The sequence below is a fragment of the Homo sapiens genome, chromosome 6 (assembly GCF_000001405.40).
Source record: "Homo sapiens chromosome 6, GRCh38.p14 Primary Assembly".
Lineage (NCBI taxonomy): Eukaryota > Metazoa > Chordata > Mammalia > Primates > Hominidae > Homo > Homo sapiens.
Window position 1 is genome coordinate 4,751,411 of NC_000006.12, and position 22,783 is coordinate 4,774,193.

General features: G+C 39.3%; 1 protein-coding gene across 1 annotated transcript in view, besides 1 other annotated feature; it reads left to right on the plus strand.

Moving 5' to 3' along the window:
- Window positions 1-22,783, plus strand: part of CDYL (chromodomain Y like) — a 249,407-nt gene that overhangs the window by 45,273 nt on the left and 181,351 nt on the right. The gene's annotated exons all lie outside the window — the stretch shown is intronic.
- Window positions 21,209-21,760: an enhancer, noted in NCBI's record as "OCT4-NANOG-H3K27ac hESC enhancer chr6:4772853-4773404 (GRCh37/hg19 assembly coordinates)". NCBI's record gives its function as "activates a minimal SCP1, AML or CMV promoter by ChIP-STARR-seq in primed H9 embryonic stem cells {active_cell/tissue: H9 hESC(primed)}" and the evidence as "EXISTENCE:reporter gene assay evidence [ECO:0000049][PMID:30033119]".

Below are 22,783 nucleotides of genomic sequence, written 5' to 3' on the forward strand. Positions count from 1 at the left end.
CTATACAACCTTCAGTCTTTCAAAAGTGTGAAATTTATTTAAGCATTTAAGTATACCTTTCCTACTTTGCTCTTCTTCTCCTTTGTAAAATGTATTGACAGTATGCTTCCTTTTGCTTTTAAGCCATTTAAGTGTCTAGAACTTTAATGATAATAATGAAGAGGGCTGTTGTTTACAAAGAAAACAGTAAGAATAGGATGAACACCCTAGATTCCCATAATACATCCCCCATTCAGGGGTAGCGATGGACGAAGACTCAAATTCACATGATAAGCTGCTCCATTTTGGCATGAACCAGTTTTTAACTCTAGCCAGTCAATTTCGTTTTTAAAACTTCTCCCAGGAGAAGAAAAAAAGTGATAGAAGAAGAAACCATACTTAGAAATGCAAACTATTCAAGGAAATCTTGACTTTCAGTCCTTGTAAATACTGAACAAAAGGCTTTATCTTTCACAAGTTGAAGAAATATTAACATGCTATGGGGGTGTCTTTCCTGCGACTGTTTTGCTGGCTCTGGGCCCGGCATGAATTTGGTAGTACTGGGCAAGGCCACAGCTGCATGCCGGCCTGCATTGCATCTCTATTTTTGCAGGCATTAAATAGCTTCTCCCATCTCCAACATGTGTTGCTGCACATGTGACCCAATGAATCAATCCCCTGTACAATGAAGCAACAATAATGGGTCTGGGGCAATTAGCACAGGGACAGCAGGTCTTCCTAGCAGACTCTTGCCCACGTTAATATTCGCAGCATATCCTGGGTGGGTGCTCCTGAGAATTCTGCTAATGCCCCATTACCATCCTCAGGGCTGGTAATTGCAAGGGTAGAGATCTGTTGCAGCTTCTGGGCAGCCGTTCCCTTCCTTCCCAAGATGAATGTTGTGAAGGGCAATGAGGGGGTTGTGAGTGCCTCCAAATAAAGGTCTTTTATAGCTCTTTAAAGCTGTAAGTCATTCAGTCATAGTTTCTTTCACCTGCTGGCTTGACAACTTTAAAAATTTACATTTCTGAACTTGTACTTTAACAGGCTTTCATCATAACTTCGGGAAAGAAGAATTAGAATGGGGAAGATTTAGGTGCACAGATGGGGTCGAAATCAGGATAATATTGACTAAGCACCCTCCTGGGGCTCTCCTAACACAAACGATTACCCTGCCTCCTAGGATTTTATAGTTCAAATAGAATAGGTGAGCACTAAAACAATCAAATCTGTTATCCTGAAAGGCCAAATTGGCAAAGTGGTTCCTAGTGAAAATCATGGAATATTAGCCCTCAAAGATATTTTAAAGCCCACCCCTCCTTTTTTGGTAATTGTCTGTGAAATGAGGATCTTACAGACCCTGCCTCATCACATGGCGGCGAGGACCAAATTAGACACCCTGGGAGCTTGCAATGGAAAAGTCTTTCATGTCTGCAAAGGAAAATAATGTGTGTGTGTGTGTGTGTGTTTGTAGATAGGTAGGTAGGTAGGTATGTAGGTAGGTAGGTATGTAGGTAGGTAGATAGATAGATAGATTTTTTTTTTTAAGACAGCATCTCACTCTGTCACCCAGGCTGCAGTGCAGCAGTGTGATCTTGGCTCACCGCAGCCTCAACCTCCTGGGCTCAAGCAATCCTCCCACCTTAGCCTCCTGAGTAGCTGGGACCACAGGTGTGCACCACCATGCCCGGCTAATCCTTCTGGTAGAGACGGGGTTTTGCCATGTAGCTCGGGCTGGACTCGAACTCCTGAGCTCAAGCAATCTGCCCGCCTCTGCCTCCAAAAGTGGGGGATGGAAAGCATGAGCCACGGTGCCTGGCCTAATATGTGTATTTTTAATGATCTTTATTGTTTTAAGCTGAAAAAATAGACTCAAAGGAGTCAAGTGGTAACAAGACAAGAGCTCCCTTAGAGGTGCTCACCCACCTGCATGCTAAACTGTATGAGGTAGCTTTCCTCTTGGGCTGTCAGTGCTAAAGATGTGTAATAATGCAGAATACCTGTACTCTGGACTCTCACTAGAGAATACAGCTTTGAACTCCCTGCTGTTCAATCCCTTAGCAAAATACTGATTTTTGAGAAATAATGTTTGTGAAGAATCGCCTGAAGGTTATGCAAATTCTCCACTCTGCTGGATATCCTAAAATTTACCTATGGATCAAACCTGATTGTCAGGGCACTGTGTATTTGGATCCCAGGTATTTGCCTCCTGGTAGTAGTAACTTGACTGAACTGTGCTTACATGAAGGGGTGTGCTATCAGACCCAACTGTAAGAAATGCATTATTATATTCAACACAAGGATTTTATGGAGAACCTGATCTGATGGATTGCTAGATTCCTCTTTATGAGGACTCACAGTGATAAATTTCCTTGGGGCTGCAGCTTCAGGAGAAACCTGGCTTCTACTAAACAACTTTTTAATCTTATGATTAAAGTATCAGCCTCTTCCCTCTTTGCTCTGGCCACTAGGAAACTTGGGGCCAAATTTGTTTATCAAATGGATTCCATTGCTCTGTAACAATCTTGGTTTTAATGTTCTTACCCCCTTTTTCCCTTTGGCAATTTGTTTTATCTATGTAGTTGCCTACCTTTTGTAAATCGACTTGTTTTTAAAAATTAATTATCCCTAGCTACTTGGGAGGCTGAGGTGGGAGGATCATTTGAGCCCAGGAGTTTGAAGCTGCAGTGAGCTATGACTGCACCACTGCACACTACAGTCTGGGCAATAGAGCGAGACCCTGTCTCTTAAGAAAAAAAAATCAATTTTGATTACTTCATAAATTTCAGTTGAATTGAGTCTCTGACATCATTTTCCAGTGAAGCCTTGAATCAGTCTTTAAGCAAACTATTTTCATCAGCTGGACCTTGGAGATGACACTCAACTATGATTTTTCAGAGGCATGTGTTAAGTCATGAATGCAAACCAATCACATTTTCAAGTCTCTGAAGTTGGCCGATTTTCATTTCAGAAGACATATTTAGCTTTGTAAGATCTCTTAAATTTATAAACAGACATTGAAGGGTAAATAGGCACTTGATCTTTGATACATAGTTCTTGGACTCACCAACAAGCAAAACAATAATATCTCAGTCCGTTGAGCTGTATCATTTGGGTTTTGTGACAATTTGGACAAAGAGTGGTTGAAGTTTACTCTTTGCTCTCTGAGTATATTAAACAAAAGAGTTTAAATTGTAAGAAGGAATATCTGAATATTAAAGAGCTATTTCCCAACAGCTTTTATTCCTATTTGCATATTAAAATGCCATTAGATTATCTTTATAATCTAGCACTGCTCTGATTGGTACTTTAATATGCCTATTACAGACCCTTCCTATTTGTTAAATTAATATTTGATTACTATAATTTCGAAGGAAATCCATTCTTGAATGTCATAAATATGTACTCTTGAATCATATCCTATAAATTAAAATATTTACTAATATGTGTGGTCTTGAAAATCATTCCAAATTCCTGAAATCACTCTGAAATGTAAGTAATACATGGTATGTGCCTTTTTGAAATATTTGGAAATGTGTCTGCTTACTTCTTTTTTGAAATGACCCCTTTCTTGAATTCTGGAATATTGCATCCTCTTTCTTTTAGTTCTCTCTCTGATTAAGCCTTTGTCCTGTTTGTTGTTGTTGTTGTTGTTTTTTGTTTTTTGTTTTGTTTTGTTTTGTTTTTGAGACAGAATTTCCCTCTTGTCACCTAGGCTGGAGTGCAATGGCACAATCTTGGCTCACTGCAACCTCTGTCTCCCAGGTTCAAGCTATTCTTCTGCCTCAGCCTCCCAAAGTAGCTGGGATTACAGGTGCCCGCCACCATGCCCACCTAATTTTTTTTTTTTTTTGTATTTTTAGTTGAGACGGGGTTTCCCCCTGTTGGCCAGGCTGGTCTTGAACTCCTGACCTCAGGTGATCCACCTGCCTCGGCCTCCCAAAGTGCTGGGATTACAGGCGTGAGCCACCACGCCCGACCACCTTTGCCTTGTTAAACATTTCTTCCTCTTCACACCCCTAATTGTGTGATTCCCCAAATTCAGCATTTCTTCCTTCATGCTGACCTAGGATAACTAAACCTTCTTAAAGTATCAACTATCATTCTTAACAGATGACTCTGGGACCTGAATATCACTTGAGTTCCAACTTCTTAGATTACCCACTGGATACTTCTACTGTCACCTCAAATTCATTGTGTCAACTATTAATCATTACTGTTCATTTCATGTTAGTGGCATCAAAAGACTTAGCAATAACAAGAAAACTTTTATCAATTATATACTACATACTACAACGGCTGCTTTAAAAACAAATCTCACTTAATCCTCTGAACCATCTTATAGGTGAGTTTTACCACCTTCACTTTACCTATTAGGAAATTGGAAATAAGAGAGGTAAAGAAAGTATACTTGTCTCACAGCAAGTATACTGCAAAACTTGAACTCAAGTGTCATGTTAAGTGGTCTCCCAAAAATTATATCTAAAATTAAATTATTTTTATTTTCTCTGTAACAAACTTTCTTCTTGTATGCCTATTTTTGCCTATGGTACCGTAATTCTCCTTCATATGGAAACTTGAAATTGTGAAGGTTTTTCCCTCCTCCTTATTATTTCTCCTGTCAAATCCATCTGTAAGTCCTGTAATATTGCCTCGTCCTGATTTTCCTTTCTTCCTTCCTCTAGTTCACACACTTACCCATTAAGGTCTCCAATAAATCTCTGCCCTCTCTTTCTGCTTTTAGCTCCTTGCACATTCTCCTCCCCTGAATGGCCACTGAACAACCTTTCAGAAGGCAGCAGTTGCCCTGTCCTCTAGTTGACCAGAAGCCTTCAGCTGATACAATGTCTTAAGGTCCTTTCCCTGACAGTCTAAGCTTTCCACATTTCGACTCCAACCTACTTTTCCAATAGCTGATAAAATTCACTCCACTCTTTTGCTCTCTTCACACTGCTTGGAATAGGCATTTTACTTTCTGCCTTCTAAACTTTGCTCACTCAGCCTTGCCTCTCAAAATAAATATCCTCCCACCTCTTTCCCTTAAAATGTCCAACTCAAGTCTCTGAGTTGGCTCTGTGGTTTTTACTTTCCTCTAAAGTTTACCTACTGTATTTATTATTTGTGTTACTCATTCAGCAGAAGCATATGTTGCCCTGTGTAGTAATTGTAGTAATTAAAATTATCGTGTGTATGTGTGTGTGTGTGTGTGTGTGTGTGTGTGTGTGTATCTTGCCTCCTTGGTCAGATTTTAAAATTCCTAGAGGGCAAAATGAATTACAACCATCTTCTACATCTCTCAGATGTTTGAAATGAGTTTACATGTAAATCATTCTACAAACAATATAGTATTCAAAGAAAGCAAATTACTTTGATAGAGGCAACAGGGTATAATAAAAAGAACATGGGTTTTGAAATTAAGAATATATGAATTCCAATCCAATCAGCTGTGTGAATTCAGTCAAGTTCAAATTTTTTAATAATATGGGTTACTTTTGTCACCTTATAGCTTATTGTGATGTTCATAGCTTATTACAAGAGAATTTAGGCCAATCCCTGCCATCCATGTATACTGAAAAGCAAAACTATTGTGGTTATTTGATGACTGAAGGGTATCACTGTCTTTTCAAGTCTTGTGTGAGCATAAGTGATTGGTATGAGTCACCATTGTACCTATAACTGATTGACATGAATAAATATACAGAATATAAACTCCAACTATTTTTTAAAAGTTTGTTGGATATTTCTGTATTTAGAAATATAACTTTAGTGTTGAAATAGTTGTCATCTAAACCAATGATGCCCAAACACAGGTCTGCAAGAAAATGAGAAAAACATTATTATAATGAGTTTTTTGGTTAAACTAAGTAATGCAATTGTTAGGATTATTCTGTATTTTGCAATTATGACTCTCCTACTTTTTGTGTGGGTTAACATTTCTTTGCTTTATAAAACAATGGTCATGATACATGGTAGAGGACAGTAGCTGTGGTTTTTGTTATTTCTATCATGGCTTTTCTTAACAAAACCAAGTTAGCAAACTGATGTTCATTTCCACAATAGCTTTGAAAATGTCACAGATCCATATTACCTCAAATGCTTGGAAACCATAATCTAGCCCAAGCTCTTTGTTTTAGAGTTGAGAATTATTTGACTTACAGAAGTTAAATTATTTGTCCGAGATCATGTAACTTACTACTGCAGACCCAATATGAGAATTCAACTCTATTAACTCTCAATGCAGAATATGCCTCATTATTTAAGTGAAAAACTGTCTTTTCTACAAATGAAAAGAAAACTCTATTTTTCGTATAACTTTTGAAGAAAAGGCATTGTGTAAATTTTATTTGCTAAAAATAATTTTATTAAGCCAGGTGTGGTAGTTCATGCCTGTAATCCCAGCACTGTGGGAGGCCGAGGCAGGAGGATTACTTGAGCCTAGGAGTTGTAGACCAGCCTGGGCAACATAGTGAAACATCATGTCAAATAAAAATAAGTAAATAAACTTATTAAAATCCTCCCAAAAGATGGCTTTATCACTAAATGAAAGAAACTGGATGATAAACTATACATCTGTAAAAATTTTTTAAAAACAAGTTTCCTAATTTGTTAATTTCATTTTTTTCTACTTATTTTCAAACAAAATTAACTTTTATTAAAAATATCTTTGTGGCCTGGTGCAGTGGCTCACACTTGTAATCCCAGCACTTTGGGAGGCTGAGGCAGGTGGATCATTTGAGGTCAGGAGTTCGAGACCAGCCTGGCCAATATGGTGAAATCCTGTCTCTACTAAAAATACAAAAATAGCAGGATGTGGTGGCTCATGCCTGTAGTCCCAGTTAATTGGGAGGCTGAAGTAGGAGAATCACTTGAACCCAGGAGGCAGAGGTTGCAGTGAGCTAAGATTACGCCACTGCACTCCAGCGTGGGTGACAGAACAAGACTCATGTCTTGAAAATAAATAAATATATATATATATATATATCTCTTTGTGGCCAGCACGGTGGCTCACATCTGTAATCCCAGCACTTTGGGAGGCAGAGACGGGTGGATCACTTGAGGTCAGGAATTCGAGACCAGCCTGGCCAAAGTGACAAAACCCATCTCTACTAAAAATACAAAAGAAATTAGCTGAGAGTGGTGACAAACACCTGTAAACCCAGCTACTTGGGAGGCTGAGGCACGAGAATCGCTTGAACCCGTGAGGCAGAGGTTGCCGTGAGCCGAGATCATGCCACTGCACTCCAGTCTGGGCAACAGAGAGAGACTCTGTCTCAAAAAAACACTTTGTGTACCTGAAGATTCTGGAAAATATAAGAGGAAGGAATAAAAACCCTATAATTCTAGAGAAAAGTCACAATTGACACTTTAACATAGTTCCTGCTACATATTTTTCGATGTATATTTTTGTACGGTTGAAACTATACTACATATTTCCTGATTCTTCATTTTACGTATTTATTTTAATTTCTTTAAAATATGTAATATATTTACATATTTTAAAGCTTGGAAAGAATAAACAGACATAGAGTGAAGAGGCTCTTTCTGATCTTTCTACCTCAATCACCCAGTTTTCTTTTTCTTTTTTTTTTTTTTTTTGAGATGGAGTCTCGTTCTGTCTCCCAGGCTGGAGTGCAGTGGCACGATCTCGGCTCACTGCAAACTCTGCCTCCCCGGGTTCACGCCATTCTCCTGCCTCAGCCTCCCGAGTAGCTGGGACTGCAGGTGCCTGCCACCACACCTGGCTAATTTTTTTGTATTTTTAGTAGAGATGGGGTTTCACCGTGTTACCCAGGATGGTCTCGATCTCCTGACCTTGTGATCCACGCGCCTCAGCCTCCCAAAGTGCTAGGATTACAGGCGTGAGCCACCGCGCCCGGCCAATCACACAGTTTTCTTCCTAACCAAAATTAATACAGTTGTTAAAAGTTTTCATATGTGTATCTTTCCAAAGAGACTTTGTGCATTTTATTCAGATTCTTTACCTTAATATTAAAACAGATTCACTTTCCATCTTATTTAAAATCATATAAAATGTCAATTTTAAGGCCCACATAATATTTTACTATACAGATATACCATAATTTGCTTAGTCCTGATTATCTATCAGACATTAAAATTGTTTCCAACTTTTGAGTTTTAGCAACTTTGTAGATCCTAGTGCTTAAATTAAAAGAGCCCATTGATCTTCTCATTTTAGAAATTGTAGGACTTGGTGGGTGCAGTGGCTCACACCTGTAATTCCATCACTCTGGGAGGCCGAGGTGGGTGGATCACCTGAGGTCAGGAGTTCAAGACCCGCCTGGCCATGGTGAATCCTCGTCTCTACTTAAAATGCAAAAATTAGCCGGGCGTGGGGGTGTGTGCCTGTAATCCCAGCTACTCAGGAGGCTGAGGCAGGAGAATCGCTTGAACCCAGGAGGTGGAGGTTGCAGTGAGCCGAGATCACGCCATTGCACTCCAGCCTGGGCAACAAGAGAGAAACTCCATCTCAAAAAAAAAAAAAAAAAAAAAAAAAAAAAAAAAAAAAAAAAAAAAAGAAGAAGAAAGAAAAGAAAAGAAAGAAAGAAAAAAGAAAAACAAAAGAAATTATAGGACTTTTACAGTAATTTTCCTTGAAGAGATTAGTTTCATTTTACCCCTATTCTCAAAAGCAAGTCTGTTGTTTTTTTCTGCTAAGGCTAGTCCATCAACCTGGGGTTGAAACAATCCTTTATCTCCATGAACTGACCTCAGTGAGTTACAGCCACATCCTCTTATACTTTGGAAAGAACATCCCTCAGCTCAGTGTTCCATAAATATTTATAGCAGGAATGCCCCAGTCCAAAGTGGATGGCATTTTGACCTCATCATTGTTGCTGACTCCCTGTATCCTGGGAGCTTAGAGGGTCGAAGCACTGTTGTTTAAGACACCCTTTGGAGCTCCCCCTTGAAAGCAAAGAGTAGTTATGCATTCAAACATACCCAAGGAATAGCACAGCAATACAAAAAAAAAAAAAAAATGATGACCCAAGTAGAAAGTATGCCCAAGAATAAATAAATGTTGATGCTGCTTTCAGAGGACTGTGAGAGTTGATGGGCTTTGTGCTGAATGCTAAAGACACTGGTTCATCATGGATTGGTCAGAAAAGAGTTTGCCTCATTTAGAGGAATATTCGTGGAGTTGGTGATGAATAGAGAAAGGTGAGGAAGGCTTCCCGAAGCAGAGGAGAAGCCATGAATTTGTTGCCTAGAAAAAGGTCTATGTGAAATAGAGCTCTTCAGAGTGAGAAATCTGGACCTACGCTATGAGGAAATTGGCATAAAAGGACCAAGAGGAAGCCTGACAAGAAAGGAAAATACTTGGTTAAAACAATTGCAGTAGAAAGGGAGAAATCTGGGCTTAATATAGATAGAACTGTCAAAGATAAGAGTAACTGCCAGAAAACCAACAAACAAAACTAGATAAATCAGTGAGCCTTCTGGGATTTTTTTTTTTTTCTGGGATTCTCTCTCAACCAACCCAACTCCCAGCCGCATCCCAACCCCCGTAGATAAAGTCTATTGTCCTTGTCCTATTCCTTGTAGTGGAAATTTAGCATGTTCTCAATTTGATGCAAAGTGTTACGTAACTCCAGGATCCAGCCCACTCTTCTGACTATATTTCCAACTATGTTATAATATTACTCTAAGACTCTCTTTTATAGAAATGTTCAAAGTAACTGTGGCAAAATTGTTTTTGCTCCCAACTATTGTACACACTTCATAAAAACTATTTCTACAACCTGAGAGCCAGTTGAGATAAGCTCTTGGCGGCAGATAAAGACCAAGATTGAGCACTCTCCAGTTACATATGTGTTAAACAGATCTTTAAACATATCCTTTCAAAGCTGTATCTCGAGGGATAATTTAATATAGGAATATAAGGTACCATGAGAGGGTCAATCACAGAAATATTTTTGGTGAGAGTGACTTTCCCCATGATTTTTTTTTCCCCAGACTGAGTCTTGCTCTGTCACCCAGGCTGGAGTGCAATGGCACAATCTCGGCTCGCTGCAAACTCCACCTCCCGGGTTCAATCTATTCTCCTGCCTCAGCCTCCTGAGTAGCTGAGATTACAGGCGTCCGCCACCACGCCCGGCTAATTTTTCTATTTTTAATAGAGACAGGGTTTCACCATGTTGGCCAGGCTGGTCTTGAACTCTTGACCTTGTGATCTGCCTGCCTCAGCCTCCCAAAGTGCTGGGATTACAGGCATGAGCCACCACGCCCGGCCCACTTTCCCCAGAATTGTTAAAGGTGACTACTTATGTGGTAGTATTCAAATACCCAAAGACCACCTACTCTAATTAGCAAAATAAGCTGTATTTGTATTGGTCCCATTCTTTCATTATTCTCAACCTGTTTCCTCTCTGTAAGATGGAAATAATATCTGTTTTATAGAATTGTCATAAAGGTTAAATCAGATTTCCAGTAATGGCAGACTAAATAAGTGTGATTGAGCTTCCTGCTAAGGACAACTAAGAAAGCTGGGGGAAAAGCATTTTAAGAATCTGATTCAAAGCAGTAGAGAACTAATAAGATGTTTAAAAACACTGAGCTAGGGTGGGGAAGCTTGGAAGCCCATGGAGGTGAGCCCGGAGTTTCTGTATGTTTTTCCCCTGTGAGCAAGACCAGAAGGCGGAGAGAACAACATGCTGAGTTATGATTTTGAAAGCCACAAAGATCTAAGGTGACAGGGATTGGTGCTCAGTTTCCATCAAGGGATGGGAGTCCTGGTGGATGAACTCTTCTCACACTGGATTAAAACTCTGAAGGACCTTAAGGAAAAGAGTAATTCAGAAGTAAGCACCCCTAGAGACTACAGCTTAGCTTTTAATTCTTTCAAGCCATGAAATTGATTTTAGGTGACATTTTAGTGTTTGAGCACTTAGGCAGCTGGCAGGAACAAACATATCCTCTCTGGAGAAATATAACATCATCTCAGACCTCAAATATATTTCTACATTTTGTAGATCCAATATCTGGCACATAATAAAAAATAATCAGACACACAAGGAGTAAAATAACATGAACTAATATCAATAGATACAGCAGACAATAGAAACAGACCTACAGAGGCTACAGGTGTTAGAGTTTGCACACTGACTTCAAACTAATGATCTTATTCAGGTCAAAGAGATTAAAAAAAAATCCAACAAGATTAAGAATTTCAACCAAGAACAACAACAACAAAAACTCAATAACAAATCAAAAGGATATTCCAGATTAAAGGGTACCAAAAAAAAAAAAAAAAAAAAAAAAGGTTTAAGAGCAGATGAGACACAATTAAAGCAAGAATTTGTAAACCAAAAGATAGATCAGGAGAAAGTACCCAGAATGTAGTAGAAAAACAAAATAATAGAAAAATCAGAAATGATAATACAACGCATAGGACTGTAGTGAAAAGCTGTAACATACGTTCATTGGAAACTCAGAAGGGAAGAAGAGACTGAGGTAGCAGCAATAATAAGAGATAATGGCTGACAAAATTTTGCAAGCTGGTAAAATAATTCAAAGACTCTATAAATCCTAGGAAACCCAACCAGGATAAATACACAAACGAATACCTAAACACATCATAGTAAAACTGCTGAAAACCCAAGACAAAGAGAAAATGGTAAAAATAGCAAGAGAAGAAAGATAGATTACCTTCAAAGGAGCAAAAATATAGCAGATTTCTCAATGGAAACAATTGAAAGTAGGAGACTATAAAATATACTAAAAGCACTGAGCAAAAGTAAGAAAATTGCCACTGAAATTCTATACCAGCTGATATAGCCTTCCATAAAAAGGTAAAATAAATAACTTTTTAGACAAACTAAAGCAAATATTAGATGTTTTTATAGCAGAAGGAAAATATCCAGCCTTGGAGATACAGTAAAAACAAAACAAAACAAAAAAACCAAAGGACAAAATAATGAGTTAAATATGTAGGTGACTCTAAATAAATATTGATTGCATAAGCCAATAATTATAATAATTTTTAGCAATTAAAATGAAGAATTAAAACACAAAGCAACAATAAGGATGGAATATAGAATTAGTGGTGTTGGAACATGGGTCAGTAGGACATGGAATAAATGGTGTAAAGTGTTCTAAGTTTCTTGTCCAGGAAAAAAATAAAAGTATTGGTATTACATTTAGTTAAGAAAAAGACACACTTAATATTTAGGGTTATTACTGTATATATTTTAAAGGAATATATGGCTTTCCAGGTAATAAGGAGAAAAATAATAGAATAATTTTTTTGTAGGGCCAGGCGCGGTGGCTTACATCTGTAGTCCCAGCACTTTGGGAGGCCAACATGGGCGGATCACTTGAGATCAGGAACTCAAGACCAGCCCTGTCAACATAGTGAAACCTCATCTCTACTAAAAATACAAAAATTAGCTGGGCATGGTGGCGTGTGCCTATAGTTCCAGCTACTCAGGAGGCTGAAGCAGGAGAATCACTTGAACCCGGGAGGCAGAGGTTGCAGTGAGCCGAGATCATGCCACTGCACTCTAGCCTGGGCAACAGAGTGAGACTCCATCCCCCAACCCCAAAAAAGAAAAATTTGTTGTAAAGTTCTCAATCAGTCTGGAACAAATCAATGAAGGAAAGAAAAAGAAACAGAACAAGTAGGAAAAATAGAACATATTGAATAATACCTAGAATTATACGTAGAATCAAAATTACACATACCAGTAATTACTTTAAATGTAAATGGACTAAATATCCCAATTAAAAGACAAAGATTATCAAACTGGATTAAAAAATAAAAGTGTTAATTGTAAGAGACATGTAAAACTTAAGAATCCAGAAAGTTTAAAAAACACATTTGGAGAAAGATTTAGCTATCATACAAACACAAAAGAAATTTGGTTGTAGGTTTTTTTTCATTTTTTGTTTTTTGTTTTTGAGATGGAGTCTTGCTCTGTTGCCCAGGCTGGAGTGCAATGGCATGATCTCGGCTCACTGCAGCCTCTGCCTTCCAGGTTCAAAAGATTCTCCTGCCTCAGCCTCCTGAGTAGCTGGGATTACAGGCGCACACCCCCACGCCTGGCTAATTTTTGCATTTTTAGTAGAGGTGGGGTGTCACCATGGTGGTCAGGCTGGTCTCAAGCTCCTGACCTCATGATCTGTCCACCTCAGCCTCCCAAAGTGCTGGGATTACAGGCGTGAGCCACTGCACCCAGTCAGTTGTAGGTATCTTAATATCAAAGTAGACAATGTAAAAAGCATTATTGGTGTCTTTATAATGACAAAATGCTTCCTTCACCAGATAGATTATAACAATTTTAAACTTGTATGTACCTAGAAACATAGTTTAAAAATATGCAAAGCAAAAACTACACAGAAAGGCTTAGACAAATTCATAGTCATGTTGGGATATTTTAATGCACCTGTCCCAGTAACTAATAGAATATTTGAACAACATAAACAGTAAAATACAGCAAAATTAAACACACACACATATATATAATAGAGAGAAAACACTGCATAACAACTAAAAAATACATAGTCTTTTGAAGTACCACATAAAATATGTATAAAACTTAAGCAATTTTGTGACATAAGTGTTAACAAATTTTAAAGGATTGAAATTCTACAGATTATATTCTTTCACTACAATGTTATTAAGCCAGAAATTGGCTGGGTGTGGTGGCTCACGCCTGTAATCCCAGCACTTTGGGAGGTCAAGGTGGGTGGATTAACTGAGGTCAGGGGTTTGAAACCAGCCTGGCCAATGTGACGAAACCCATCTCTACTAAAGTACAGAAAATCAGCCAGGCATGGTGGTGGGCACTTGTAATCCCAGCTACTTAGGGAGGCTGAGGCATGAGAATCACTTGAACCCGGGAGGCAGAGGTTGCAGTAAGCTGAGATCGCACCACTGTACTCCAGCCTTGGTGACAGAGGGAGACTTCGTCTCAAAAAAAAAAAGACAAATAAAAATAACTAGAAAATCCTTATTTTTTGAAATTTTAAAATATCTTTCTAATAACATGTGGCTCAAAGAAGAAACCACAATGGAAATTATAACATATTTTCAACTAAATAATAATAAAAATACAAACTATTAAGACTTGTGGGATGCAGGGGAATTTATAGGTTTTAATTCATACATTTGAAAAGAAGACTGAAGATCAATGAACAAAGTCATCTTTTTTGTTTCCCGTTTTTTTTTTTTTGATACAGAGTCTTGCTCTGTCGCGCAGGCTGGAGTGCAGTGGCACAATCTCAGCTCTCTGCAACCTCTGCCTTCCAGGTTCAAGTGATTCTCTTGCCTCGGCCTCCCATGTAGCTGGGACTACAAGTGCATGCCACCACACCCGGCTAATTTTTGTATTTTTAGCACAGATGGGGTTTTGCCATGTTGGCCAGGCTGGTCTCGAACTCCTGACCTCGGGTGATCCACCCACCTTGGCCTCCCAAAGTGCTGGGATTACAGGCATGAGCCACCATGCCTGTTGAACAAAGTCATCTTAAGAAATTAGAAAATGAATAACAAATAAAACAAAGGAAATAATAATGATAGAAGTGTAATTAAATAGAGTAGACATACCATACAAAGAACCAAAAAAGCTCAAAATTGGTATTTTCAGAAGACTAATAAATTAATATACCCATGGCAGGACTGATAAAGAACAAGGAGAGAAATGATACGTATTTTCAATAATTAAAATGGGAATATTATTAGAGATCCTACAAATACTAAAATTTTATGAACAATTTTATGTTATTAACTTTGAAAATTTAGATGAAATGGACAAATTGACACAGAAAGAAATAGAAATCCTGAATATTCCTTTTTTGTTTGTTTGTTTTTTCCTTTTGAGATGGAGTTTCACTCTTGTTGCCCAGGCTGGAGTGCAATGGCATGATCTTGGCTCACTGCAACCTCCACCTCCTGGGTTCAAGTGATTCTCCTGCCTCAGCCTCCTGAGTAGCTGGGATTACAGGCATGTGCCACCATGCCTGGCTAATTTTTTGTATTTTTAGTAGAGACAGGGTTTCACCATGTTAGCCAGGATGGTCTCGATCTCCCGACCTCAGGTGATCCACCTGCCTCAGCCTCCCAAAGTTCTGGGATTACAGGTGTGAGCCATGGCGCCCGGCCCTGAATATTTCTTTATTAAAGAATTTGAATCTATAATTTAAAGTCTTCCAGTAAGAATGCTCCAGACCCAGGTGGCTTTATAAGCAAATGCATACAGGTATCAAAAGAAGAAATAATGGCATTCATACACAAACTAAAAATTGGAAAAGAGGAAGTACATGACAACTTATTTTATGAGATCTCCATAACCTTGATATTAAAATCTGACAAGAGGCCGGGCACAGTGGCTCACACCTGTAATCCTAGCCTTTGGGAGGCTGAGGTTGGCAGATCATTTGAGTTCAGGAGCTCGAGACCAGCCTGGGCAATCTGGTGAAACCCTGTTCTCCACAAAAAAAAAGTTGGCCGGGCATGGTGGCGTTCACCGGTAGTCTCAGCTACTTGGGGGGAGCTGATGTGGGAAGATCACTTGAGCCCAGAAGGTTGAGGCTGCAGTACACAAGATCTTACCACTGTACTCCAGCCTGGGTGACAAAGTGAGACCCTGTCTAAAAAAAAAATTAACAAGAAAGAAAAATTTCAGGTGAATCTTCCTCATGAACATAGATTCAAAATCCTAAACATATTATTAGCACACCAAATTTAGCCATTTATGAAAAGGATAATGCATAAAAACTTTATTTGGTTTATTCCAGAAAAAGAAATTTGGCTTAAAATTAAAAATAAATATGTCAATGCATTTACAAAATGAAGGAATAAAATCATTTGATCATTTCAGTAGATGACAAAATTCAATATTCATTCATGATAAAAAAAAAAAAAGTTTAGAAAACTAGGATGGAGACTGGGCGCAGTGGCTCACACCTGTAACCCTAGCACTTCGGGAGGCTGAGGCAGGTGGATCACGAGCTCAGGAGTTTGAGACCAGCCTGCCCAACATGGTGAAACCCCATCACTACCAGAAATACAAAAATTACCCAGGCGTGGTGGCGTGCGCCTATAATCCCAGCTACTTGGGAGGCTGAGGCGGGAGAATCGTTTGAACCCAGGAGGTGGAGGTTGCAGTGAGCTGAGATTGTGCCACTGCACTCCAGCCTGGGTGACAGAGTAAGACACCCTCGAGAGGAGAGGAGAGGCGAGATGAGGGGAGGGGAGGGGAGGGGAGCAGAGGGAAACTAGGATGGAAAGGAACTGCCTTAATCTAATTAAATAGGCCTACAAAATTCCTTCAGCAAATATCATCCCTAATGGTAAAAGCTTTCCCTCTGTAATAAAAATCAAGACCTGGTATCCACTTTACTCAATGTCATATTGGAGGTCCTAAGTGCAGTGTCCCTCACTTTATAGGCATGCTGCATATGCAGTTGGCATCAGCGAAGCAGGTCCACCAAAACTTTATTTTGAAATGATTTGATATCTAAACAAAATGTAAAAACATCAAATTTAATGCAATATTGCAATAATTCCCTAACCACTCTCCTCCAACCACTTTCTCTTCATAGAGCCAAACTTTTAAAAAATATAAGTCAGATTATTGATGAAGAGACCCAGGACCTGGTCATGAGCTACCAGATTTGCCTGCCTCTCCATCCCATCTTATGTCTCCCTTCCTGTTGTCTGCATTCTGGCTTCACCAGCATTTTCAGAGTCTCAAAGGTGTCATGCAACTTCCACATCTAGGCCTTTGGAAAAAGCCCTTTCCTAAGCCTGGGACCATTTCCAATGCCCTCTTCACCTAATTCATCCTTTAGATTTTAGCTCGCTAGTTCAGGGACAACCTAATCACAAATAGGGAATAGCCTCAGTCACAATAAACACATCTAACACCCAGAACTTGCTTTCTAATATGATTTTTCAACAAAGAGGAACCAAGGCTCCTTGGAGAAATGGTTGATTCTAGGACTGGAGCAGAAAATATACAAGATGAGCCTGCAGCATCTTACAATGCCAGAAAGTAAGGAAGTGATCAAAATATACACCGCCTCATGATGAGAGTATGTCAAAGATGCACAGAAGTCAACTGAAAGAGCTCCCGGTGGCCAAAGCTAGAGAATCTGATCAAGGAAATAAATAATGCATTATGGATTATAATCCAGGGTATAAAATAATCCATGAGTCTCAATTGATATAAAAAATGAATAAATTAATAAGTGGGGGAGAAGAGAGAAATCTCCTATGCAGAAGAATTGTAGATACTTTTTGTAGACACTCTGCCCTCGAGGGGAAACATAATCCTCATTTCTTAAGTGTGGGCTGCTCAAAGTGACTCCCTTCCAAACACTACAGTATGGAAAGGGACAGGGGCTGGGAGTGGAGAACAGTAAGTTTTCAGTGCAGAAATCTGACAAGCACTGTATTTGCTAGGTGATCAAGGTCAACATCAGCAGTGAAGTCATGTTGATCGTAGGTATCCTTGATACAATGTGATGAGAATGGCATTTTACCTCTGTGGTCTTCCTCCCCCAAACACAAAAGCCCAGTCAAATCATATCATGAGACAAATATCAGACAAATTCCAGTTGAGGACATTCTGCAAACGTTTCACAAAATGTACTCTTCAAAACTGTCAAGGTCATCAAAAACAAGAAAAGCCTAAGAAACTGCCATAGCCAAGAGAAGCGTAAGGAGACAGGAGAACTATTAATAGAGGTAATGCGGCGTCACAGATGGGATCCCGGGGCAGAAAAAAGAAAATTAGGTAAAAACTAGGGAAATCTGAATAAAGCGTGTATTTTAGTTAATAATACTGTATCAATATTGGTTCACTAATTGTGCCATGTATACCTGACTAAATGTAATGGGGAAAACTGGGTATGGGAACTCTCTACTATATATGCAATTTTTCTATAAATCTAAATCTGTTAAAATCTAAATCTGTATGAAAAACATCAACAACTAAATAACCTCTAAATAGTGAATAGAATATGGTATCCCTCCTACTTCTCATAAATTATTTAAAAGTCTGCCAAGTATTGGTCTGAATACGGAAATCATATTTTGCTTAAGCTGGGGAGTGGGTACATAGGCCTTGTTGTATTTTTCTTTATGCCTTTTTGCATATCTAGTATTTCATTTTTTAAAATGCTAAATGTAAAGCAATTGCGTAAAAGTCAAAATGTTGATCTCTCGCATGATGGCTACTTAGTTTTAAAATATCAAATTATTTGAAAATAATTTTTCAATGATTCTGCTTTGCTGGTACCCAAGCATGTCCAGTGTGCCCACGGGGTGCTGGGCACTGTCTCTGGGGAAGCAGCAAACCAGACTCATCTCTAGGTGGCCTGGGCTCAACAGCTTCCTGCCATTTTCTTTGATTGGTAGTTAAGACTTTTTTGTTGTTGTTTTGTTTTTGTTTTTGTTTTTTGAGACGGAGTCTCGCTCTGTTGCCCAGGCTGGAGTGCAGTGGCGCGATCTCGGCTCACTGCAAGCTCCGCCTCCAGGGTTCACGCCATTCTCCTGCCTCAGCCTCCCAAGTAGCGGGGACTACAGGCGACCGCCACCACGCCCGGCTAATTTGTGTGTGTGTGTGTGTGTGTGTGTGTGTGTGTGTGTGTGTGTGTATTTTTAGAAGAGATGGGGTTTCACCATGTTAGCCAGGATATGGTCTCAATCTCTTGACCTCGTGATCCACCAGCCTTGGCCTTCCAAAGTGCTGGGATTACAGGCGTGAGCCATGGCGCCGGGCCAACATTTTTTTTTTCCTGACAACTTAATGTCTATCTATCCTAATAGATTGCCAGCTACGTGAGAGCAGGGATGATTGTATGTACATTGAGTAGCAAGGTGCCTGGCATACAATAAATGGTCAATAAGTATTTATTGAGTGACTATAACTTAATGATTCAAAACTTAGACCCTAGTGTTACCTGGACCTGATGAAGTTTAGCTTCCCCACTTACTAGGAATGGGGTCAATAAAAATGCCCACTCCAAAGGCGCTTTGTGGACGAATGTGCTTACTTATTACGGTTCTTTGTAAATGTTAGCTATGATTTTTATTAGGTGCTTGCTGAATTAAATAGCTTAATATTTGTAAAGTGCTTAGAACAGTTCCTGGAACAGGGTAAGTGCTTCTTGTTTGTGTTTATTTATTATTTTTTTAATGTTGCTGTTGACCAAATTAAACTTCACATTCATTTTGTTTAGTCTGTTAGGGATATTCTTTGGAAAATCTTCTACATTGTGTGGAAAGATAAGGCCTAAAATGCATACTATTCTGATTCGTTCAAAATATATCACTCTGGGATATGTGTAATTCAGAAAGGAACGTGATCTGAACACTTCTGTAGTAGTTATGGAGAAGTAATGTGTACTACAAAAAAGGAATCATTAAATCATTTAAGAAAATTGCTGTGCACTACAGCAATATCATTCATAGATAATTAACAATCCACCTTTGCAGGGGTTTGTTACCTGGTTTCAAAACATTGGCTTTTAAACTTCTTGCCCTAGCTCAAAATGTAAGAAATACATTTTACATTATGACTTAGTACACAATAATATATGTGCGTGCATATATAAGCATATATATACATGCCTAAATATTTGTGTATATGTATAATGGAAACAAAATTTTACTACACAATGGTCATTCCTAGTAAAGTGATGGATGCTCTCTAATACTGTTTCTAGTTCCAGTAGGTGAGAGGGTAAGAGAATTTGCACTTTTTTTTTTGGCGGGGGGGATGGAGTCTTGCTCTGCCATCCAGGCTGGAGTGCAGTGGTGCTATCTCGGGTCCTTGCAACCTCTGCCTCCCGGGTTCAAGTGATCCTCTTGCCTCAGCCTCCCGAGTGGCTGGGATTACAAGCACATGCCACCACACCCGGCTAATTTTTGTATTTTTAGTGGAGATGGGGTTTCACCATGTTGGCCAGGCTGGTCTGGAACTCCTGAGCTCAGGTGATCCACCTGCCTTGGCCTCCTAAAGTTTTGGGATTACAGGCGTCAGCCACCACGTCCAGCTGAGTGTTTGCACTTTGAACAAGTCCCAAGGTGATGCCGTTGCTGCTAGTTTGGGGAACCACACTTTGAGAACTTCTACACTAGACAATACTAGTGATTGAAAAAAAATCAAGCCCCACTAAGCGCCTCCAAGTGCTGGTCTGGCCCCAATCTTCCAACTCATTTACACTTTGCTTTAGATTCAACATCCACCTGCTCCTGGGATAATTCTGGGTTCCCCCACTTCTGGTGGGTCTTGTGTTTCTATTTTCCTTACCAGTCAAAATGTCCACACTCATCTCTTGCCTAGTTGTTCTCTCTCTCTCTTTCTCTCTCTGTCTAGAAATGGAAAGGTAAAGACGATACTGGGATGGTCTGACTTGAGAGACAAATGCAATTAATCATCACAATAATTCAAGGGAAAGTTAAACAGTACTTGCTGTTTTTTTCCAGGGATCCAAAATGAGTTAGTTACTGCCTTGGCATAAAGTCAACCAAAATTATGGGAATACCTGTGCCTATTTCCTCTTTATGATTTTTGGTCTTTTTGCTTTCCAAAAATGGGGTAATGTATAAAATTATCAATGAAAAACTTCCTTGCTCTTGCTCATTACTTTAATCAAAAAAAGTTCAACAAGTACATATTACAAGGATTCTCTTGGTAGAACACCATTAGCTAAATAGAAAAAGGAACCGTACTTAAACACTAAATCTAGTTGAAAAAGCAAATGATCCTTAATTGTAGATTGATGAGCTCCGGCCAGTGATGGTATCACAGCCTAAGATGAAATTGGTGAAATCAAATGTTAAGAGGTCTCAGAATTGGCATCACGAGGGCAAAGAGATGAAACAACTAGTGATATCTGGCCAAGGAGCAGCAGTGTGGCAGCTGGCTACTGGCTTCTATATGAAAGAGAGAAATGGTACCTACCTGGGACCAACATGGAGGGCGGCAGGGAGAGGCTGCCCCTCGAAATGGGGAAACTGACTGTTTGGGCAGGGAAGGCAACAGTGACTGAAAAAAGGAATCAGCTGTTATTGGTTGACCAGAAAAAGGTACTGGTATCCACTCTAAGCTTTTAGGGAAGGAAGAACTGGTTGGCTCCCAGTTCAGACAAGGCCCCTAACATCTGAATTAATCTTATAAATGGTTCTGTATGCTTCTTTCTTTTGGGTCTCAGGTTTAAAATGTTCTTTCTTTTGAGTGGGTGATTGAGATGGAAATTCCACCAAGTTTTCTGGAGTAGATACTCTATGACAAGAACGGCATTTAATTTCCCTTCAGCCACTGTGGGTTTAAAACCAACAAACTTAGGTCGCATCTTCATAAAAATCACAATTAAATTTTGGGTTATGGAGGAGGTAACCAGGATAGAATATGCTTTGGGGGTACAAAACTGTTGAAGGGAATCATTATCAGTAGCTTTTCACAGCTACCCAACCATAAAACGCCTTTGGCTCTGAGAATAGTAGTAGCTAGATTTTGGCTTCTTTTGTTTTTTTCTGTCCCATCCCCCATCTCCCCTTGGATGCCTTTGGATTCAAATGTAGATGAAATGCAGATTCTTGGGAGAAAGGAAGACATGCCTGGTTTGGCTGGTGATTGGGAAAAGAGGAGGATCTCAGATTTCAGGTTTTAGTTATCATTCTCCCGAGATGGGAAGAGGCTGTGATTCTTGATCTGAAGAGTCTTATCGTCGGTAGAACTTGCCATCGATGATCAATTGTTTGGATTTGAGGAGGAGAGAATTGAATTATGTTGGCCTACAACAACGGGAGCAGGTCAGGTAAGAATCGTTTATTGCTGGTAGACGTGTCTTTTAATCATGTGTGTATATCGTCTCTCTTGTTGACCACTTCTCTAATCTTTTAAGAGTCATATGTCTTACTAGTGCATGGTATTGTGCTGTATGTATTTTTGCTGCAATCTTCCCGGTGTGCTTAGGGGATGTGATTTCACTTTTATTCTTAAGCCACTGAGAAAATAATAGCACCCACACACGTGGTCATGGAAACTACAGAACTTCACTGTTTCATAAAAGGTGGTGGAAATTCCAAGTCATTAAATAATCTTGGGCATATTTACTTCTGCTATGAGTGCTGGTAAAATGTTTATATAAAAAAGTGACGGAGGAAAGCAAAGTTTGCTTAAAAGTAAGACAAATTGAACGAATGAGGTTAAAATATATATGTATATATAAGCAAAATAGCATTCCATAAATCAGTGAGTTTTAAATGGAGGGCAGATGAAAGGAACAAAGTGGACAATTGAGAACTTCCTCAATTTCTCAGTCGCTAGGTGGATACCCATCTCCTTCGCCAGTGGAAGCCAACTGTCAGAGTGGAGAGGTGGTTGGAACTTAGGAGTATGGCTCACTCCTGCTTTGTTTTAGAGGCTACTGGTGGTTACTCTTAATGTTGTAGACTAAGGATAGCAGCATAAACATTCCAGATTGTCAAGATTGAAAAGCTACGTAAATTGACAAAGGTCTATGTAAATTGACATTTTTGAGTTGCCTTTTTGAGGCTATAATTCTTCCCCTTTTTGTTTCCACAATGGGGAAAATCGCCTTACTAGCTCAATATCTGGATATGTTTGTTGTGGATGTCTATGTTCCTTTCTTTCCCTCTCCTGGGCAACAATGGCAGTTTTGGAGACTCCTTGGAGACCACAGTACCATTACGCACATGGTGGAGCCCCTTGTGAATGCCTAAGCTTGTGGATGTTCTGAAGGGGGCAATAATTGGAGTAATGGTCATGGCGAGAAGTGCTTGTATTTGTATTGGTCCATCATTGCATAA